General features: G+C 50.2%; 1 protein-coding gene across 15 annotated transcripts in view, besides 1 other annotated feature; it reads left to right on the forward strand.

The window, feature by feature from the left end:
- SUPT6H (SPT6 homolog, histone chaperone and transcription elongation factor) overlaps positions 1–20,146 on the forward strand; it is a 40,475-nt gene extending 20,329 nt beyond the window's left edge. For 13 of the 15 annotated variants that reach the window (XM_047436596.1, XM_047436604.1, XM_047436601.1 and 10 more), the window contains 24 exons: positions 194–323; positions 409–559; positions 735–889; positions 1,088–1,283; positions 2,053–2,192; positions 2,311–2,428; positions 3,806–3,882; positions 4,121–4,256; positions 4,555–4,692; positions 4,771–4,938; positions 5,558–5,685; positions 6,821–7,028; positions 7,549–7,696; positions 8,388–8,530; positions 11,163–11,303; positions 12,819–13,014; positions 14,311–14,549; positions 15,087–15,200; positions 15,373–15,497; positions 17,248–17,360; positions 17,640–17,717; positions 17,813–17,979; positions 18,408–18,595; positions 18,906–20,146. In XM_047436596.1, coding sequence (XP_047292552.1) covers positions 194–323; positions 409–559; positions 735–889; positions 1,088–1,283; positions 2,053–2,192; positions 2,311–2,428; positions 3,806–3,882; positions 4,121–4,256; positions 4,555–4,692; positions 4,771–4,938; positions 5,558–5,685; positions 6,821–7,028; positions 7,549–7,696; positions 8,388–8,530; positions 11,163–11,303; positions 12,819–13,014; positions 14,311–14,549; positions 15,087–15,200; positions 15,373–15,497; positions 17,248–17,360; positions 17,640–17,717; positions 17,813–17,979; positions 18,408–18,595; positions 18,906–19,092 — 3,584 coding nt within the window. In that variant the 3' untranslated portion in view covers positions 19,093–20,146. Of the gene's footprint in view, positions 1–193; positions 324–408; positions 560–734; positions 890–1,087; positions 1,284–2,052; positions 2,193–2,310; positions 2,429–3,805; positions 3,883–4,120; positions 4,257–4,554; positions 4,693–4,770; positions 4,939–5,557; positions 5,686–6,155; positions 6,307–6,820; positions 7,029–7,548; positions 7,697–8,387; positions 8,531–11,162; positions 11,304–12,796; positions 13,015–14,310; positions 14,550–15,086; positions 15,201–15,372; positions 15,498–17,247; positions 17,361–17,639; positions 17,718–17,812; positions 17,980–18,407; positions 18,596–18,905 lie in introns of those variants that run through there. The other 2 variants (XM_047436606.1, XM_047436607.1) reach the window with 2 other exon arrangements.
- Positions 15,858–16,152: an enhancer, noted in NCBI's record as "tiled region #10516; HepG2 Activating DNase matched - State 5:Enh". NCBI's record gives its function as "activates a minimal TATA promoter and a strong SV40 promoter by Sharpr-MPRA in HepG2 cells {active_cell/tissue: HepG2}" and the evidence as "EXISTENCE:reporter gene assay evidence [ECO:0000049][PMID:27701403]".
- Positions 20,147–20,410: the final 264 nt, after the last annotated feature.

Genomic DNA, 20,410 nt, shown 5'->3' on the forward strand with positions numbered 1-20,410 from the left:
TCACCTGAGCCCAGGTGGTTAAGGCTTCAATGAGCCATGATCACACCACTGCACTTTAGCCTGGGCAACAGAGCGAGACCGTCTCAGGAAAATAAAAAAGGCTAGTTCCCAGAATTCCAACTCCAGATTCTGAAAGCCAAGAGGTTTATCAGCCTATCTGCTGCCTTACCCTTCACTCTTCTGTTTGCTTTAGATGGCCTGGCCAAAAAGTTTGGGCTTACTCCCGAGCAGTTTGGGGAGAACCTGCGGGATAGCTACCAGCGGCACGAGACAGAGCAGTTTCCCGCGGAGCCCTTGGAGCTGGCCAAGGATTACGTTTGCAGGTAGGCATGCAGCAGGTGGCTGACAGGAGGAGGGGCCTGAGGACCACAACACCCTGGTCCTGTAGCTGCACCATTTTCCCCACAGCCAGTTCCCTACTCCAGAAGCTGTGCTAGAAGGCGCCCGCTACATGGTAGCCCTGCAGATTGCCCGTGAGCCCCTTGTCCGGCAGGTGCTGAGGCAAACCTTCCAAGAGAGAGCCAAGTTAAATATAACCCCCACCAAGAAAGGTAGAAAGGTGAGCTGGGTGAAGGGCTTTGATCCAAGATGTGCACCAGCTCTTTCTTTGATTGCCTGAGTTTCTTGCCTTCCACTTCACTGAGCTGTGTGTCTGAAAGCAGAAAGGCTGTCTTTTCTCCTGGGGCCTGGCCCAGCCCATCCGCAGGCTCATGATTCCCCCTTCATGTGTGCAGGATGTGGATGAGGCCCACTATGCCTATTCCTTCAAGTATTTAAAGAACAAGCCTGTTAAGGAACTGAGAGATGACCAGTTTCTCAAGATATGCCTGGCTGAAGACGAAGGGCTCCTCACCACTGACATCAGCATAGATTTGAAGGGAGTGGAAGGGTAAGCAGAGCCCTGGGCTGGCGACTCTCTGGGGAAGGCCTGATGAGGAGTCTGGTGGAGGGAAGGGCCCCTCAGGAGTGGGGAACCACAATTTCAGAGTTGAGCAGGCTGTTGTCTCTGGCTTGCTTAGAATGTTCATGGACATTGGGTGTCACCTTTTCTCCATTCCTGACACCATAGCTTTGTGTCTCTTCTCAGCTATGGCAACGACCAGACATATTTTGAGGAGATAAAACAGTTTTACTACCGAGATGAGTTCAGCCACCAGGTGCAGGAGTGGAACCGGCAGCGCACCATGGCCATCGAACGGGCTTTACAGCAGTTCCTCTATGTGCAGATGGCCAAAGAACTCAAGAACAAGCTGCTGGCTGAAGCCAAGGAATATGTCATAAAGGTGAGGACAGAGACTCATGATTTTTTTTTTTTTTTTGGTGACAGAGTCTTGCTCTGTTGCCCAGGCTGGAGTGCAGTGGCGCAATCTTGGCTCACTGCAAGCTCTGCCTCCTAGGTTGATGCCATTCTCCTGCCTCAGCCTCCCGAGTACCTGGGACTACAGGCGCCCACCACCATGCCCAGCTAATTTTTTATATTTTTAGTATAAAATATGTTATATTTTTAGTATAAAATAACATGGTTTTACCGTGTTAGCCAGGATGGTCTCAATCTCCTGAACTCATGATCTGCCCACCTTGGCCTCCCAAAATGCTGGGATTACAGGCGTGAGCCACCACGCCCAGCCGAGACTCATGATTTTTAGTCATATGATTTCCCCAAACTATAGTTGGGCATGAAGGAACCCCTTAGGAATAGTCCCATAGCTAATGGAGAAACACGGGGGGCAGGTGAAGCATAATCTGAGAGGGAATGCTAACAAGGCCACAGGGACCACCTCTAAGACCTCTCTGCTCCAGGAGCTTCTCCCCTCCCCCAGCCCCACTCATCCAAACATTCTTTGTTTATATCACTGTTCTCTGTATACACTCCTGTTTCCACAAGCAAGATATGCCTTCAGGTGGTAAGCCTGCCAATGGCTAGGAACATCTGCACATAAGAGTACACACCCTCGCACATGTGTGTATGAGTGTGTTTCCATAGCACTCTTGGTGAGCCTGATGACCATAATGTCATCATGTATGTAATACCTGTTGTGTCTCTTCCCTCAGGCCTGTAGTCGAAAGCTCTACAATTGGTTGAGAGTGGCACCCTACCGACCAGATCAGCAGGTGGAAGAAGATGACGACTTTATGGACGAGAACCAAGGGAAGGGCATTCGAGTCCTCGGCATTGCTTTCTCCTCTGCCAGGTAACAGCCTATTTTTGCCTCCCCAGCACCATCTCTTGTCTTCCTAATTTCATTTTTCTCTCATTCATAACTTCATATTGCTGATTATTGCATTCTTGTTTTTCTGTCTGTCTGGCAGAGATCACCCTGTGTTCTGCGCCCTGGTCAATGGTGAAGGAGAAGTGACAGACTTCCTTCGACTGCCCCATTTTACCAAACGGCGAACTGCATGGAGAGAGGAAGAGCGGGAAAAGAAGGCAAGTGGCTAGGACGAGGATACTAAGTGTACATCTGGAGTATGTCTTATGATTCAGTGGAGATAAGTGTTTACGGTCTAAGCAACATCCTATGCAAGACTGATTGTGTCTGATCTGGTCACTGACTTGTCCCCTGGGATGCCTCACTTCCATGAGCAGTAGATGGCACTCAAGTTATCTAGTACGGGATTTGCTTCTGGCTTGAGGCCAGTTCCTAGGCCTTGTGTGCTTCTGGAGTTGCTTTAACTGCCTCTTTTCTTACCAGCATCTGGGTCAGGCTGTTCCAGCAGCTGAAAGCTACTGAGGCATGAAGCCAGCCTTTTCCCTGCTTTAGCCTTTCAGGGTGTCTTTTTTCCAGGGAAAGAAGACTTTCAATTCATTTGGTTGGTATATTTCTGAATTTTGTTTATCCTAATGGTATCTGTAGTATCTTTCAGTTTTGTTAACAGAGCCCCATTCTTGAAAGAAAAACTTCTTAAGAAACAACTATTTTTTAAATTTTATTATTATCATTATTATTATTATTATTATTATTATTATTATTATTGAAACAGAGTCTTGCTCCATCTCCAGGCTGGAGCGCAGTGGCAAGAACTCACCTCACTGCAACCTCTGCTTCCCAGGCTCAAGTGATCCTCCTGCCTTCCAAGTAGCTGGGACCAGAGGCGTGCACCACCACGCCTGTCTAATTTTTGTATTTTTTGTAGAGACACGGTTTCACCGTGTTGCCTAGGCAGGTGTCAAACTCCTAGACTCAAGTGATCCATCTGCCTCAGCCTCCCAAAGTGCTGGGATTACAGGTGTGAGCCACTGCACCCAGCCCTTAAAATCTTGAAATGGAGATCAGAATATCTAATAGTCCTAACTACTCACATTTTAGCAAAAGTCACACCACAAATGAAATAGCCACAAAAGGAGGACATGCAGGAGTGTGAGGCAGTGGAAAGTAAATCATAAGAAACTGGACATCTTTAAGATGAAGGAAATCATACTTAACCATGTTGACCTTTTCAAAGGGCCCTCACCCAAAAGAGGGCAGCTACTAGTTCTTTGTTTTGCTTCATCAAAACTAGAACCAATGGCTAAGTATTAGATTTTGGTTTACAATAAAAAAGAACGGTTTCCTAACTTCATCCTTGGGACCTAGCCAGTGGCACCTGGTACCACTGGAGCGCAGTTCTAGTCAGTGGAATTATTAAGCAGAGGCAGGGTTGGCCAACTTTCAGGAAGAGGTGGGAATAGTTCCTTGGTAGCACCTTGGACCAGATATCTTCTGAAGACTTCCAGTTCTTACAAGATCTCCAACATAGGGAGACAGAATTTCCTGAAATCTTTACATCCTCAGAGCCATTCAGCTTCAATTTTCTTTCAATCCAGGCTCAAGACATTGAAACGCTAAAGAAATTTCTCCTGAATAAGAAGCCTCATGTAGTGACAGTTGCAGGAGAGAACAGGTAGGTAGGGATTAGACCACACCTGGTTTAAGGCCGTGACCCAACTCATCCCTTATTATTGAGTCTGGCATATGCCCATAACAGATGGGGCTTGTGCTTGTGCAGGGAGTGTCCCTGGGGATGTTTGACCTCATTTTCTTCAAAGCCCTTTCCTCCCCTACCTCTTCACCCCCAAGGCAGTCATGAGACTGTCCATCCCTAAGAAAACATATTCATTGACCAACACTCATCCCACCAGGGACGCCCAGATGTTGATTGAAGATGTGAAGCGCATTGTACATGAGCTGGACCAGGGCCAGCAGCTGTCATCTATTGGGGTAGAGCTGGTTGACAACGAGTTGGCCATTCTCTATATGAACAGCAAGAAGTCAGAGGTAATGCTGGAGCCTCACCCTTAGGGCCTGCCCAGGCAAGTGCTATTAATCCCAAAGAGATTAAATTGGGAAACAAAAGTTATCAGGGGCACAGGACTGTACCTGTGTACTTATCCATGCAGAAGTTCTCCGTTTTGCAGTTACGGTTCAGATTGGGAGTCCCAGAAATTAAATCGGTCTCAGGAAAAAAGATCCCAGAGAAGCAGAGAAAATGATTTAAACCAGAATGGTTTGGATTTCCTCTTGATGTTGTAGCTAAGGGGATTTTAAGGCCCTGCTGACCCTCGTTTGACTCTAGGCAGAGTTCCGGGATTATCCTCCAGTGCTGAGACAGGCCGTCTCCCTGGCCCGGCGCATCCAGGACCCTCTGATTGAATTTGCCCAGGTGTGCAGTTCCGATGAAGACATCCTGTGTCTCAAGTTTCACCCCTTGCAGGTGAGTAGGATTTGACAGGCAGGCTCGGGTGAAGGGAAAGGCAGAGTAACCTTACTCCTGCCTGCTGAATGTCCACAGGAGCATGTGGTGAAAGAGGAGCTGCTCAACGCCTTGTACTGTGAATTTATCAACCGAGTCAATGAGGTCGGGGTCGATGTCAACCGTGCCATTGCCCACCCTTACAGCCAGGCCTTGATCCAGTATGTTTGTGGCCTGGGACCTCGGAAAGGGACCCACCTCCTGAAGGTAGGATTGGAGTGAATTCAGAAATTTTAAAACTTGCCATTTCATTGAATATGAATATATACTTTGTCAGTATAATTTGACAGATTGGGAGGACCAAGGTCAGTGACTTGTCCAAAATCACTCAGCTAGTGAGAGTCAAAAGAGTCTGACTTCAGACCCAGTTGGCCAAAGCTGTGCCCTTCACTGCTGCTTGCACCACCACACCCAGCTAATTTTTTGTATTTTTAGTAGAGACGGGGTTTCACCATGTTGGCCAGACTGGTCTCAAACTCCTGACCCCAGGTGATCCACCCGCCTCAGCCTCCCAAAGTGCTGGGATTACAGGCATGAGCCACTGCGCCCGGCCAACTAGTGTTAACTTGTAACTTATAAGCCATACATTAGTTGTATATGGTCTTTGGTGTAGGTATAACATCATTTATTTGTTTATTATTTTCCCATTTAAAGCAAAACTTTTTTTTTTTTTTTTTTAATTTTGAGTGGTCGATAGCATGCTGTAGTGCTCAACTAGATACTGGGTGGGACAGAGTTTTTGTTATGAGGGTTTAATAGAGACTGGAACAGTCTGGGGAGGTGGGGCCTGCTTACTGCCCTGGCTCAGTCCAGCTCTCTCCCCCAGATCCTGAAGCAGAACAACACCCGGCTCGAGAGCCGGACCCAGCTGGTCACCATGTGCCACATGGGTCCCAAAGTCTTCATGAATTGTGCTGGCTTCCTCAAGATCGACACGGCCTCCCTGGGGGACAGGTGATGCCCTCTGCCTGGATGGGGCAGGAGGAATTCCCTTGTGGGCTTTGTTTTCGGGTTTCAGGGGTTAGGGCTATCAAAGGGCCACAAGCCATTTTAACTTAGGAAATGTTTTAAAGAAAAGGTAAGGAACTTTATTCAGTCAAGAGCCCCTGACCTATGGAAAAGATCGGTTCAATCATGTGAAACATTTTTCGTGTGAGAGAAACATAAAAAGTACCAGCTTAGCTTATAAATTAAGCATGGAAAACACAAGATTTTGTTCAGTAAACACAAACTTGCTTTTTTATTATTATGGTTTGTTGTGGCCAGATAAGGGTGGGAATAGCGGGGGCAATGAAAAAGGAGTTTGGGGGTATAAAGAGATAAGGAAGGGGGAGAGAGATTTGGTATGTTTTGAGATGATGTTATTAAGAGAAAGTTCTATTCACTTGGACTTTGGACTTCACTATTGACCTCTTCCTCTCCAGAAGTTATCAACTCAGTCTTTGGAGGATCTTTTCCACGGGCACATAGCTCCTCATTCAGTAATGGAAATCAGTGGGGAAATAGGCTTCAAGTTCTAAAACTTCATTTTCCACTCAGCTTTGCTGTAACACTCCACGAATAACATAGGTCCATGTGAGTGCACGGGCAAGACCAGCCTGGGAAGGCTTTATGGGGGAAAATAGCTATCAGCAAATTTTCAAAGGTTTTTTTCCCCTTTCTTGATTTATCTTATTATGAGACTCATATAAGTTCATCATATAAAATTCAACATATAGAAATATTATGCAGAAAGTGGAAGTCCCCCATAATCCCACCCCCCAGAGATAACTACCATAACAATTTTATGTATACTACAGTTTTTCTAAATTTTATTTTTGCTATGCATTTACTAACTACCCATTTACTACAAAAATGGGATCATATGGTTCATAGTGTTTTTGCAGTGCATTTTTCACGTATCAATATATTGTGGCCATCTTTCCATGTCAGCACACATAGATCTACCTCATTCTTGTTAATGGCTGTATAGTATTCCATTGTATGGAGGTGCCCTAATTTATTTAACCAGTTCCCCATTGGTGGACATTTGGGTTGTTACTAGAAGCTTATCGTTCTATATCCTGTTCCTTTTCTGCCTTTCCTCCAGCACTGACTCATATATTGAAGTCCTTGATGGTTCCCGTGTCCACCCTGAGACTTATGAGTGGGCTAGGAAGATGGCAGTGGATGCCCTGGAATACGATGAATCAGCCGAGGATGCCAATCCTGCAGGAGCCCTTGAAGAAATCTTGGAAAACCCAGAGCGACTGAAAGACCTGGACCTTGATGCCTTTGCAGAAGAGCTGGAGAGGCAGGTAAGGGACAGCATGGAAGGCCCGGCAGGAGAACCCATCCCAAGTGGCCAGGTTGGTAGGAGACTTGGGCAGTGAGTGTGCAGAGAAAGCCTGATACTGTTAGTATGGCAGACTTGATCCTCATCTCCCTGCCCTGCTCTACTGGGCTCCTCAAGGAAGTTTTTGGTCTGCTTGTTAAGGAGCCAGGGAAGTCTCAGAGATTGCCACCATAATTACAAGGGGCAGGAGGGAGTTGGGAGGATGTCAGTACTACAGTTTCCGTCTAGGCCCCCTTTCCTCCTTTCTAACAGCACAGCTTTGCATTTATCTGTGGACTCATTGGGGTTCCATAAAGCATTTTGATTACAGTGTTTCATGGCTAAGTTTGAAAACCACCTTTAGTAAATGTTGATGGAAAGAAAAGAAGAAGCCCTGACAGAAACTTACTCCCATCTGGAGAGGCCCGCCCCTTCCACGGGACTCCTTGAGGCTCAGGTTGGGGGGCAGCTGCAAGGCTCTTCTTGATGGGCTTCTTCCCCAGGGCTATGGTGACAAACACATCACACTCTATGACATCCGGGCAGAGCTGAGCTGTCGATATAAGGACCTCCGGACAGCCTACCGCTCTCCCAACACAGAGGAGATCTTCAATATGTTAACCAAAGAAACACCAGAGACCTTCTACATTGGTAAATTCTGGGGTCATTTTTTTATTGGGGGCAGGAGGTGTGTTTACTGTGTACATTCAAACCAAGCAGCAGTTCCAACAGATTGAGGCAGGTTTGTGTTGTACATGGGGAAGGCCAGGAGAGCATTTTAAAAGACTAAAGAGTCCTGGACTGGAAATCAAAACTGAATTTAAGGTCAAATGTGCTTCCAGTGTGCTATGGAATCTTCATGCAGTTAGTCTTCTTATAGGCTTTATTTTCCCCTATCATCAAATCAGGGGAACGGCCAGGCACAGTGGCTCATGCCTGTAATCCCAGCACTTTGGGAGGCCAGGGCAGGCAGACTGCTTGAGGCCAGGAGTTCGAGACCAGTCTGGGCAACATGGTGAAACCCCATCTCCACTAAAAATAAAAAATTAGCTGAGCGTGGTGGTGGGCACCTGTAATCCCAGCTACTCGGGAGGCTGAGGCAGGAGGATTCCTTGAACCTGGGAGGCAGAGGTTACAGTCAGCCAAGATAGCACCACTGCACTGCAGCCTGGGCAACAGAGCAAGACTTCATCTCAAAAATAAATAAATAAATAAAAATCGGGAAGAGTTCCCTCTTCAAGGATGGGAAGGAAGTCAGATATTCTGTCACTGAAAGGCTGGTGGAAAGAAGTGCTCTCCACATTCTCTGAGCCTGCTCCCCATCCTCTTTTCCTTCTTGCAGGAAAGCTCATCATCTGCAATGTCACTGGCATTGCCCACAGGCGTCCCCAGGGTGAGAGCTATGACCAGGCGATCCGCAATGATGAGACAGGGCTGTGGCAGTGCCCCTTCTGTCAGCAGGACAATTTCCCTGAACTAAGCGAGGTGTGTGCTGCAGCATTATCCTGCTCAGTGGATTTCCTTGGTTGAATGATCTCGGTGCCTAGAAGGGAATCAGAAATGAGGGTGTTCTAGATCATTCTCTCACCAAACAAGTACACAAAGAAGGAAGACGGACGGGAAACACACAGGTTTAGCATGAAGTCCCTTCTGAGAAGGCTGACATAGCTGGGCACGGTGGCTCACGCCTATAATCCTAGCACTTTGGGGGCCAAGGTGGGCGGTTCATCTGAGATCAGGGGTTCGAGACCAGCCTGGCCAAGATGGTGAACCCCCGTCTCTACTAAAAATACAAAAATTAGCCAGTTGTGGTGGCATACGCCTGTAATCCTAGCTACTCGAGAGGCTGAGGCAGGAGAATGACTTGAACCGAGGAGGCGGAGTTTGCAGTGAGCCGAGATCATACCACTGCACTGCAGCCTGGGTGACAGAATGAGACTTCATCTCAGAAAAGGAAAAAAAAAGGCTGACTTAGAAACTTCTTATGGTCGGCCGGGCGCAGTAGCTCACGCCTGTAATCCCAGCACTTTGGGAGGCCGAGGCGGGCGGATCATGAGGTCAGGAGATCGAGACCATCCTGGCTAACACGGTGAAACCCCGTCTCTACTAAAAATACAAAAAATTAGCCAGGCACGGTGGCGGCCACCTGTAGTCCCAGCCACTCAGGAGGCTGAGACAGGAGAATGGCGTGAACCCAGGAGATGGAGCTTGCAGTGAGCCAAGATAGCAGCATTGCACTCCAGCCTGGGCGAAAGAGCGAGACTCCGTCTCAAAAAAAAAAAAAAAGAAACTTCTTATGGTCGCTGGGTCAAAACAAAATGGCAGACAGGCATGGTGGCACGTACGTATAGTGCCAGCTACATCAGAGGCTAATTTGGGAGGATTTCTTGAGCCCAGGAGTTCGAGGCCAGCCTGGGCAACATAGCAAGACCCCATCTCCTTTTTTAAAAAAAGGGAGGGGCTGGCCGGGCGCGGTGGCTCACTCCTGTAATCCCAGCACTTTGGGAGGCTGAGGCGGGCGGATCATGAGGTCAGGAGATCGAGACCATCCTGGCTAACACGGTGAAACCCTGTCTCTACTAAACAATACAAAAAATTAGCCAGGCATGGTGGTGGGCGCCTGTAGTCCCAGCTACTCGGGAGGCTGAGGCAGGAGAATGGTGTGAACCCGGGAGGCGGAGCCTGCAGTGAGCCGAGATTGCACCACTGTACTCCAGCCTGGGCGACAGCGAGACTCTGTCTCAAAAAAAAAAAAAAAGTGGGGAGGGGCCAGGCCGGGCACAGTGGCTCATGCCTGTAATCCCAGTACTTTGGGAGGCTGAGGCAGTTGGATCACCTGAGGTCAGGAGTTCCAGACCAGCCTGACCAACATGATGAAACCCCATCTCTACTAAAAATATAAGGATTAGCAGGGTGTGGTGGTGAGACTCCTATCTCAAAAAAAAACACAAAAGGGAGGGGCCTCAGTTGCAGCTAAAGGGATCTAAGTTGGATAAACATAAAAGAGGATGGGGCACAGTCACACCAGTAATCCCAGCACTTTCAGGGGCCGAGGCAGGTGGAGTGCTTGCCCAGGAGTTCAAGACCAACCTGAGCAACATGGCAAAACCCTATCTCTACAAAATAAAATTAGCCAGGCTTAACCGGGTGCAGTGGCTCACGCCTATAATCCCAGCACTTTGGGAGGCCAAGGTAGGTGGATCACGAGGTCAGGAGATCGAGGCCATCCTGGCTAACACAGTGAAACCCCATCTCTACTAAAAATACAAAAAATTAGCTGGGCATGGTGGCGGGCGCTTGTAGTCCCAGCTACTCGGGAGGCAGAGGCAGGAGAATGGCGTGAACCCGGGAGGCAGAGCTTGCAGTGAGCCAAGATTGTGCCACTGCACTCCAGCCTGGGCAACAGAGCAAGACTCTGTCTCAAAAAAAAAAAAAAAAAAGATTACCCAGACTTGGGGGCGTGCGCTTATAGTCCCAGCTACTCGAGAGGCCAAGGTGGAAGGATCACTCGAGCCTGGGAGGTTGAGGCTGCAGTGAACCCTGATTGCACCACTACACTTCAGCCTAGGCAAAAGAGTGATACTGTCATAAGAAAAAGATGGCTAGGTGTGGTGGCTCACGCCTGTAATCCCAGCACTTTGGGAGGCCGAGGTGGGCAGAACACCTGAGGTCAGGAGTTTGAGACCAGCCTGGCCAACATGATGAAACCCCATCTCTACTAAAAATACAAAAATCCGCCCTGTGTGGTGATGCACGCCTGTAATCCCACCTACTCAGGAGGCTGAGGCACGAGAATCGGCTTGAACCCAGGAGGCGGAGGTTGCAGTGAGCCAAGATTGCGCCACTGCACTCCAGCCTGGGCAACAGAGCAAGACTCCATCTCAAAAAAAAGAAAAAGATTCATCTGATGGCCAGTGGTGCCAAGCATCAGCTATGAGACAAGGGACTTTGTAGATGGTCAAATTCTGTCTTGGCAGATGACTAAGTCATTGTGTTTTCAGATCATGGTGCAAGGTGTCAATGGTAAAAGAAATTACAACACCTCTGGGAGCTCTTTTCTGAATGAGCGATCTCCAGAATATTGATAATCAAGCTCTTCTCCTCATGCCCTCTTCAGGTGTGGAACCACTTTGACAGCGGTTCGTGCCCAGGCCAGGCCATCGGTGTCAAAACACGGCTAGACAATGGTGTCACCGGCTTCATCCCCACCAAATTCCTCAGTGACAAAGTGGTAAAGCGGCCAGAAGAACGAGTGAAGGTAGAGGACTGATTGTCCTAAGGTCGTAGTGCAATTTTCAGCTGCCCAGATCAGGTCTCTTTAACTTTGGGCTGTCCCCACCAGAAGTTAGGCTCTGTTCCCAGTGGCTGCTGGTGGGAAGTGTTTCAGGGAAGATTTATAACTAGTTGAAAGAAGCTAGGGTGAGAAGCATTTGAATGAGTAGCAGCTTTTGTTCACTGCCTTTGTGAAATTTCAGCAAGTTCCCAGTCCTTTGGGAGAGGGCTCTTCCTGTGTGGGAAGCTGCAGTTCAGTCCAGAGGGCAGGGCCCAGCATTACATGCTGTGAAACAGAAAGGCTCTGCCTGTTCTCCCAAGACCAGGCATCAGCGCTTTAGAGGGTGGGAAATAATGCATGGCACAGCCCCTGTGCACAGGGAGCCTCTGGATCCTCTAGGCAGGACCAGATGACACAGAAGGAACCTTGAGATGGTGTCTGTGGATAGGGAGGAAATCTCTAGGCTCCATTTCTGTTCTGTTATTTTCTGGCCATATATCATGCACCCACTAGATACCAGCACTGACATCGACATATGTTGTCTCTAATCTCACATGCTGATGGAAATGGAAATATTGTCTTTTGTCAGAGAAATTCAACTTTTTTCAGAATCACCCAGTTAGTGATATAGCTGATAGCAGCTCTGCGAAATTCACTGGTTCTGAGTGTTGTGAACCTCTGAGAACTATGACTTAGGAGGGCTGGGGAAAAATAGTTCTAATAAGTGAAGCTGGGGAGATTTTTCACAAGGAGAAGAGTGATGCAGAGTGACTGGCTTTTGCCACTACTTAGACAGAAGGGCTCATATCAAGGGTAAGATACAGAAAACAGCTATTATTTTGCTTCCCCTTCAAAAAGGGAAGTCAGGCCAGGCATGGCAGCTCACACCTGTAATCCCAGCACTTTGGGAGGCCAAGGTGGGTGAAGTCATTACTTGAAGTCAGGAGTTCGAGACCAGCCTGGCCAACATGGTGAAACCCCGTCTCTACAGAAAATACAAAAATTAGCCGGGCATGGTGGCACACGCCTGTAATCCCAGCTGCTCGGGAGGCTAAGACAGGAGAATCGCTTGAACCCTGTGGGTGGAGGTTGCAGTGAGCCAAGATCACACCACTGCACTCTAGTCTGGGCGACGAGTGAGACTGTCTCAAAAAAAAAGGAGGGGGGGTGTTGGGGGAGTCAACCTTTGATGGCACCTTGGGAGCAGTAACTAGGCAACTTCATGGGAGAAGAGAAGAGTGCCAGGGACAGGGTAGATCCAGCAGGCTTCAGCTGGTTTTCCTGCCCAGAGTGGAGGCATTAGTGCAGGGCTTGGCCTGTAGTCTACAGACAAGATTCCACCCCAAACTCCCAGTCTGCCATTCAGCAGCTGGCTGGCTTTGGGCAAGTCACTTTACACCTTACACCTTTCTGCCTGGACTTTGGTTTTCTCATGGGTGAAATAGGGCATCGGGCTAGATCATCTTTGTCCCTTCCAGCTCAAATGTTCTGTGGATCTAGGTGGGAATGACTGTTCACTGCCGCATCATGAAGATTGACATTGAGAAGTTCAGTGCAGACCTGACCTGCCGCACCTCAGACCTCATGGACAGGAACAATGAGTGGAAGCTGCCCAAAGACACCTACTATGACTTTGATGCTGAAGCTGCAGACCACAAGCAGGAGGAGGACATGAAGCGGAAGCAGCAGCGGACCAGTGAGTGTGCCTCCCACCATCTCTGTGCACCCTGCATCTTGGCAGTTCTCCCAGTGCAGGATTCAGGCCACAGGATGCACATGTGTCAGTCTCCCAGTGGAAGTGGGGACTCAGCTTTGAGGTGCTAAGGCCTGGAGATGTCATGAAAAAGTCATAGGTAGGGCTGGAACCCAGAGTCTCTTGGGTCACATTTTCTTTGCTAATGCCTTGTGACTCTTAAAGCCTCATTCTTTCAGTGTCCTAGGAGCCCAGGTGAACATGTCCTTCATATCAGCTAATCCAAGCCCAGAGAAGGTGAAAGAGTCTCAGAATCCCATAGTGGGTCAGAAATTAAGCCCAAACAGGGTGGCTCACGGCTGTAGCCCTGCACTTTGGGAGGCCAAGGCAGGAGGAGCACTTGAGCCCAGGAGTTCAAGACCAGCCTGGGCAACTTAGTAAGACACCATCTCTACAAAAAAAATTTTTTAAATAGCCAGGAGCCAGGTGCGGTGGCTCATGCCTATAATCCCAGCACTTCGGAGGCTGAGGCAGGTGGATCACTTGAGGTCAGGAGTTCAAGACCAGCCTGGTCAAAATGGTGAACCCCCGTCTCTACCAAACGTACAAAAACTACCCAGGTGTGGTGGTGGGCGCCTGTAATCCCAGCTACTGAGGCAGGAGAATTGCTTGAACCCAGGAGTGAGAAGTTGCAGTGAGCCAAAATTGCACCACTACAGTACAACGTGGGTGACAGAGTGAGACTCTGTCTCAAAAAAAAAAAAAAAAATGGCCAGGCGCGATGGCTCACGCCTGTAATCCTAGCACTTTGGGAGGCTGAGGCAGGCGGGTCGCTTGAGGTGAGGAGTTCAAGACGAGCCTGGCCAAAATGGTGAAACCCCATCTCTACTAAAAATACAAAAACTAGCCAGGCGTGGTGGTGGGCGCCTGTAATCCCAGCTACTGAGGCAGGAGAATTGCTTGAACCTAGGAGGGAGAAGTTGCAGTGAGCCAGAATTGCGCCACTGCACTACAACGTGGGTGACAAAATGAGACTGTCTCAAAAAAAAAAAAAAAAAAAGCCAGGCATGGTGATGTGCACCGGTGTATTCCCAGCTATTTTAGAGGCTGAGACAGGAGGATCGCTTGAGCCCAGGAGTTCGAGGCTACAGTGAGTCATGATTTGCCACTGGCACTCCAGCCCAGATGACAGAGCACCCCAACTCAATAAATAAATAAGAAATGAAGGCCTGGTTTGTCCTGTTGCTGCCAGCTCCTAGCCCCATCACCCAGTCTGTACTGCTTTTCTGCCCTTTTCAGCATACATCAAGAGAGTGATCGCACACCCATCCTTCCATAATATCAATTTCAAGCAAGCAGAAAAGATGATGGAGACCATGGACCAGGGTGATGTGATTATCCGACCAAGCAGCAAGGGCGAGAACCACCTGACAGTGACCTGGAAAGTCAGTGATGGCATCTACCAGCATGTGGATGTGCGGGAGGAGGGCAAGGAAAATGCCTTCAGCCTGGGAGCCACTCTGTGGATCAACAGTGAGGTGAGAGCCAGTGCCTGCCCACCTCCCATCCCACTCCTGCTTCCAGAAAGGTGCCCTTCAGGGTGCTTTCACCTGACATTAGTAACTCGGGTCATAGGTATTTTAGCTGTGCACAGCAACAAAACGGGAGGTGGTTTGCGGAATGAGTCATTTGATATCAATTTTATTTTGTCCCCTCCTTCCGTGTCCTCCAAATGTTAAAATAGTCTACCTAGAGAGAGCCAATGGAGGAAGAGGAGAAAATACACATATATACGCACACACATATATCAAGTTTCTCTTTTCTGTTTTCAGTGAAGAGAAATCTGGTGAATTTTCCTGTTGTTCCCAAGCACTAGGGGAGAATCAAAGCCAGGATTTAAAGGACTTTATGCCCTGTGAGCTAATATATCTGGACATGACACAGATGGATAAACTGAGGGGACTTTGCTATGGACTGAGAAGCCCATCCCCTCCCATGGTTTTTCTTCTGGATGGATTTGATCAAGAATCTCAGCTCTGGATATGACACATGGGGCCTTTACCTTCTTCCCACAGGAATTCGAAGATTTGGATGAGATTGTTGCTCGCTATGTCCAGCCCATGGCATCCTTTGCCCGGGACCTTCTGAATCACAAGTATTATCAGGACTGCAGCGGTGGGGACCGCAAGGTAAGCCCAGGGCCCTCTGAGGAATGACACTTGCCAATCACTTAAGGATGTACGCTTTCCCTTCAGTATAGGGGACACTCAGGCGGTGAAGGAAGTGTACATCATGTGTGCACCAGACGTTGTGTACCAAGCATGCTGCTATCCCAACCTCTCCCCCTCATTCTACCCCCAGAAATTAGAGGAGCTGCTCATCAAAACTAAGAAGGAGAAGCCCACCTTCATCCCTTATTTCATCTGTGCCTGCAAGGAACTGCCCGGCAAGTTCCTACTGGGATACCAGCCCCGGGGTAAACCCAGGTGAGCACTAGTGCTGAGAAGGTGCTGCCACTGGGGTTCATAGGCAGGCTAGAAGGCAGGGAGAGGCCCGGAGCAGTGCCCTCTCTGGCTCTGCTGGACTGCCTTTCTCCTCTCATCTGTTTAGAACAGAGGTGGAGGTTGGAGGTGGGAAAAGAGGGTGATGATTTCAAGGCAAAAAGGCAAGGATTCACATAAGAAGGGCGCTTTCCTTAACACCGTGAGAAAGGAGTTCCCTTCACCTCCTCTCCCTCCCACAGAGTGACAGGAGTCACCAGACACTCTTCACCTGATTGCAGAAACTGGGGGCCAGTACACTGGTCTCTCCTGTCCACCACCTGCCTCACCCTCACCAGGGCTTGCACACAGTGGCTCACTGTTGCTGTAATGTGCTCACTCCGCCCGCACTGAAGCGGTGGTCAGGAGAGCCTGTCTCCTGTTCTGCTCTGTCTCCTGCTCTGCCTGCTGCTCTGCCTGCTTCTGTGTGACTAACAGGCTGGCCTTCCTGAGGTATTCCTTTATCTGAGTCCCTCTAGCGCTTACCCTGAACCTAGAGGACAAAGTCCAGTTTCCTTAGACTGGCGTCTTTGTGTCTGTGATACAGACTGGTAATCACACTTGCTTCTCTGCCTAAGCCCTGCCCCCATCCTTCCATTGGCCTTTGGCCATGTGCACTTCTGCTTTTATCCCTGTACTGGCTTTACCTGATGCACAGCTCAGGCTGCATTAGTAGGGGCTCAGTGGCCAGATGACAGGAAGCCCTAGACTCTGTACCGTGTGCCATCTTGGGCACATCTGGAATATTGTGCTCATTTCTTGAGAAGCCTGTTGACTCACCAGTGTGCTTCCAGAGGCCAGCAGCCAGGGCTAAGTGGGGCTGGAAACTGTGTCCTGTGTGGAACAGTTGAGCAAACTGGTGGCGGGGGTGGGGGCTCTAACCAGGACCAGGTGCAGCATGATAGCTTCTGGGGAAAGGAGCTGACTCTCCTTGTGTGGCAGAATTAACACTTACGGAAGAGTTAGGAGGCAGGTGTCAGCCTAATAGAAATGAGAACTGTGTACTATGTAGCATTATCTGGTTGCCATTGATAGCTGGCCTTCATTGAGCACAACCCAGCTTTAGGCATTGTGGAACGTGCTCTGTGCATTCTCATTTATCCTCACACCCACCCCATAGGCTTCAGTGCTGTGGTCCTCACTGGACAAATGAAGCAGAGATTCAAGTTTGGTAACTTGGTGCAGCGTGTCATATGTGGTGAATGGCAGAGCTAAAACTAGAACTAGAACTGGAACTAACCCAGAGCCCCTCTTAACAACTATCTGCTACTCTCAGAAGTGTTGAACAAGGGCAGACTACCACCTTCCACAGCCACTGCAGAAAGATGCCTGCTTTAGGGGAGTTGCGATTTGCTGCTCTGGGAGGCCCCTTCCAACCCTGGCACTATGGGATCTCGGTCTCACTTCACCGGCAGTATCCTGCCTTCATACTGCAGCCCAGTATGGTAGCACAGCCTCCAGCAAGCCTTCCTCCGGCAGTCCGTATGCAGCACACAGAGGGCCACTGACTCCTTGGTCTTCAATATGTTCTGCCATGTGCTGCTCACCTCCCTTCACAGGCCTGGGGACTGGCTGTGTCATCTCTCCTTTCCCCTAGCACCCAGAATGGCTACTTCACATGGTGGGCATCTGTTCTGGTCGCTCTTGTGGTGGGTCCCAAGTGGTTTCTGATGCATGTTTCCTTCTAAAATCCTAGGATAGAATATGTAACGGTGACTCCAGAGGGATTCCGGTACCGGGGCCAGATCTTCCCAACCGTGAATGGACTGTTTAGATGGTTTAAGGATCACTACCAGGATCCTGTACCAGGTGAGTTCTGCTCTTCCTGACTTCAGGGACGTGGCTGGAGGAACACCTAGGACCTGACTCAGAGTAGTCCCAGCCTAGGGGACCAGGTGAGGAGTAGGCTGTCACTGCAGCTGTCTTACTCCTCCTGCAGCCTCCCAGCACCAGGAAGGTTCTCCATCCACTGTGCCTATGCAGCTTCCCTTCCTCCCTCTACCTACTTCAGTGCCCCTTCCACCCCCTGAATTGGGAAACCAAAAATAGGTTTCTGGAGGGATGTAACTAAATAATCACTTCCTGCAGGCATCACCCCTAGCAGCAGCAGCAGGACCCGGACACCTGCCTCTATCAATGCTACCCCAGCCAACATCAACCTTGCAGGTGAGGAGCTTGAGCCTGGGACTGGAGGTGGGAAGGATGGAGCTAAAGGGACTTTCACCTCTAACATGCCCCTCCCCACCTCTGTGTGCTTACAGATCTGACACGGGCTGTGAATGCCCTGCCTCAGAACATGACTTCACAGATGTTCAGTGCCATTGCTGCGGTGACAGGCCAAGGACAGAACCCTAATGCCACCCCAGCCCAGTGGGCCTCCAGCCAGTACGGCTATGGCGGCAGTGGAGGCGGCAGCAGTGCTTACCACGTATGTGGCTTGGGGAGGAAGCTCCCTGTGCAGGGTGGGGCCCATAGACTGCCCTCTCGCATTGCCCACAAGGGGCTTCACATGCACAGATGGGGCTGCCACGGCCTTGGTAACTGTCTCCAACAGATATTTCTTGTCCTTAGGCCCATTTGAAGGGGAAGAGGGTAAGAGAGGGCATAACCTTTCCACGGGCCTTTGGGATCTTTGGAACCCGCAAGCCACCAGAAAGTTGACATGGTCAGGACCAGTGGGCACCACTGTGTGCTCGGTGCTGACCTGCAGGCTTCCCACTGCTGGTCAGAAGCACATACTCAGTGGAAGATCATCTGGAAAGCTTTGCTGAGCCCACCCTTGCGCTTACCCAGAATTCACAGCAAGGCCAAACAAGCCCCACACCCATCCCTATTTAACTGTTCATGCCTCTCCAGGTATTCCCAACGCCAGCCCAGCAGCCAGTGGCCACACCACTAATGACCCCTAGCTACTCCTACACGACCCCAAGCCAGCCCATCACCACCCCTCAGTACCACCAGCTCCAGGCCAGCACCACCCCACAGTCGGCCCAGGCCCAGCCCCAGCCCTCTTCCAGCTCCCGGCAACGGCAGCAGCAGCCAAAGTAAGTATCTGGATGGTGGCACAGTGCAGGTCAGTGGTAGGGGCAGGTGTTGTCAAGAGGCCGAAAGGCTTAGCAGAGGCAGGTGCTCTGGATCCTCTGAGGGCCCTGACCACATGATATGCCAGGAACACTAGTTTCTGGGTGAAGACGGAAGAGGGCAGTATGGCAGCCAGCTGCTGCTGTATCTGCCTTATCCCAGTAGAGGGGCTGCTGCCCATAGGTATGAGGTTCCTTTCTGCAAGGGTACAGTGATTGGTGGGAAGACTTCCTTCTAGCAAAGTCCCAATCTCAACTTTTCTTCCCCTCCCAGGTCCAACAGCCATGCAGCCATCGACTGGGGAAAAATGGCGGAGCAGTGGCTGCAGGAAAAGGAGGCAGAACGGCGGAAACAGAAGCAGCGGCTGACACCTCGGCCCTCCCCCAGCCCCATGATCGAAAGCACCCCCATGTCCATTGCTGGCGATGCCACCCCACTCCTGGACGAGATGGATCGGTAGGGGGCCTGCTCCTCGGACTCTGGTTACCTCTGAGGCTGGGAAAGGCCTGGCTGCCCACTGCCTCCCTCCCTGCCCCTCCTTTTATGTCCATAAAGTGGCGTGAAGTGAGACGTTCTCTTTGGTGGTCAACCCGGATGGGTGACAGGCTGGATGGCCTTGTGAACTTGAGCTCAGTGTATGCTAGGCAACAATTCTCCCGCTCCAGACCCTCACCGACCACCTGTCCTGGGACCAGGCTGGGAGGGGAGTGTGGCAGGGAGGAGGAAGAGGAAGGTGAGAATGAGTAGAACAGTTTTGTATTCTACTCCCTACAAGCCATTTTGAACTTCTGCCCTCACCGGACTCTGGGCTGTGACTGGGGCACCAAACTCAGCACATGAGTCTCCCCTAGCTCTCGTGGGGAGAGGGATGCTATTTATTCAGTTTGGGGCAGGAGGGAGAGGAGGGAAAGTATTTCTGACCCTGATGCCAACAGCCGGGTGGCTGTCCAAGCAGGATTGCAGGGGACACAGGGAAGCACTGCCCAGCCCCTGCCTGGCTGCCCTTTCCCCCCTGCTGCTGCCACCGCTTCCTGCCTGTCATTTGAATAAACAGTGTTTCTATTGAGCTCTTGCCAAAGCCTCTCTCTCCAACTCTCCAGCTCTTTGAGGGGTGGCTTTCAAAGCAGTGTTTGGAGCTCCAAGGACTCCCCTGACTCCCTCTTCTGATCCATCAGAGGCAAAGATTCATAGACTAGAGGCAGCTTCTACATCAGACTGCCTGGGGCACATCCCTGCTCTACTTCCCAGCCGGGTGACCCTGTGCCAGTTCCTGCTGCCTTTCAGCTGGCTTTCTTACCTGTAACATGGAGATAGTGATACCTGCCTCATCAGCTGCTGTGAGGACCAAGGCAGCGTGTGCAAGCTCCTTGGCCCAACGCCTGGTACGTCGCAAATGTTACCCGGTATTATTACACCCACTCACTCACCCACAGCACAGCTGCCCCATCCGCCCATGCCTGCTGGTCTTCTCTGGCACCCTGGAGAAAGGCCACAAGTAAATCTGGATTTCTCAACTTGAGCCTCTGCCGTTCATCTCTTCCCTTTTCCCAGCTGGGCCTTGGTCTCTTGCAAGCTCTCAGCAGTAAGGTGTTCCTGCCCCAGGATGGGGCCCTGCTCACCTGCTCCCCTCCAACACACTGGCCCTGGCCCTTTGTCCCTGCCCCACTGCATTTTTTGTTCTGAACTCCTGCCATCCCTGTTTCTGCACAAGGGCTTCGTCTCACAGCTCTGTGAGTCAATGCTGGGAGAGTGGGGCCTCTGGCTCCCTTTCCTTTGCT

The sequence above is a fragment of the Homo sapiens genome, chromosome 17 (assembly GCF_000001405.40).
Source record: "Homo sapiens chromosome 17, GRCh38.p14 Primary Assembly".
NCBI classification, from domain to species: Eukaryota; Metazoa; Chordata; class Mammalia; order Primates; family Hominidae; genus Homo; species Homo sapiens.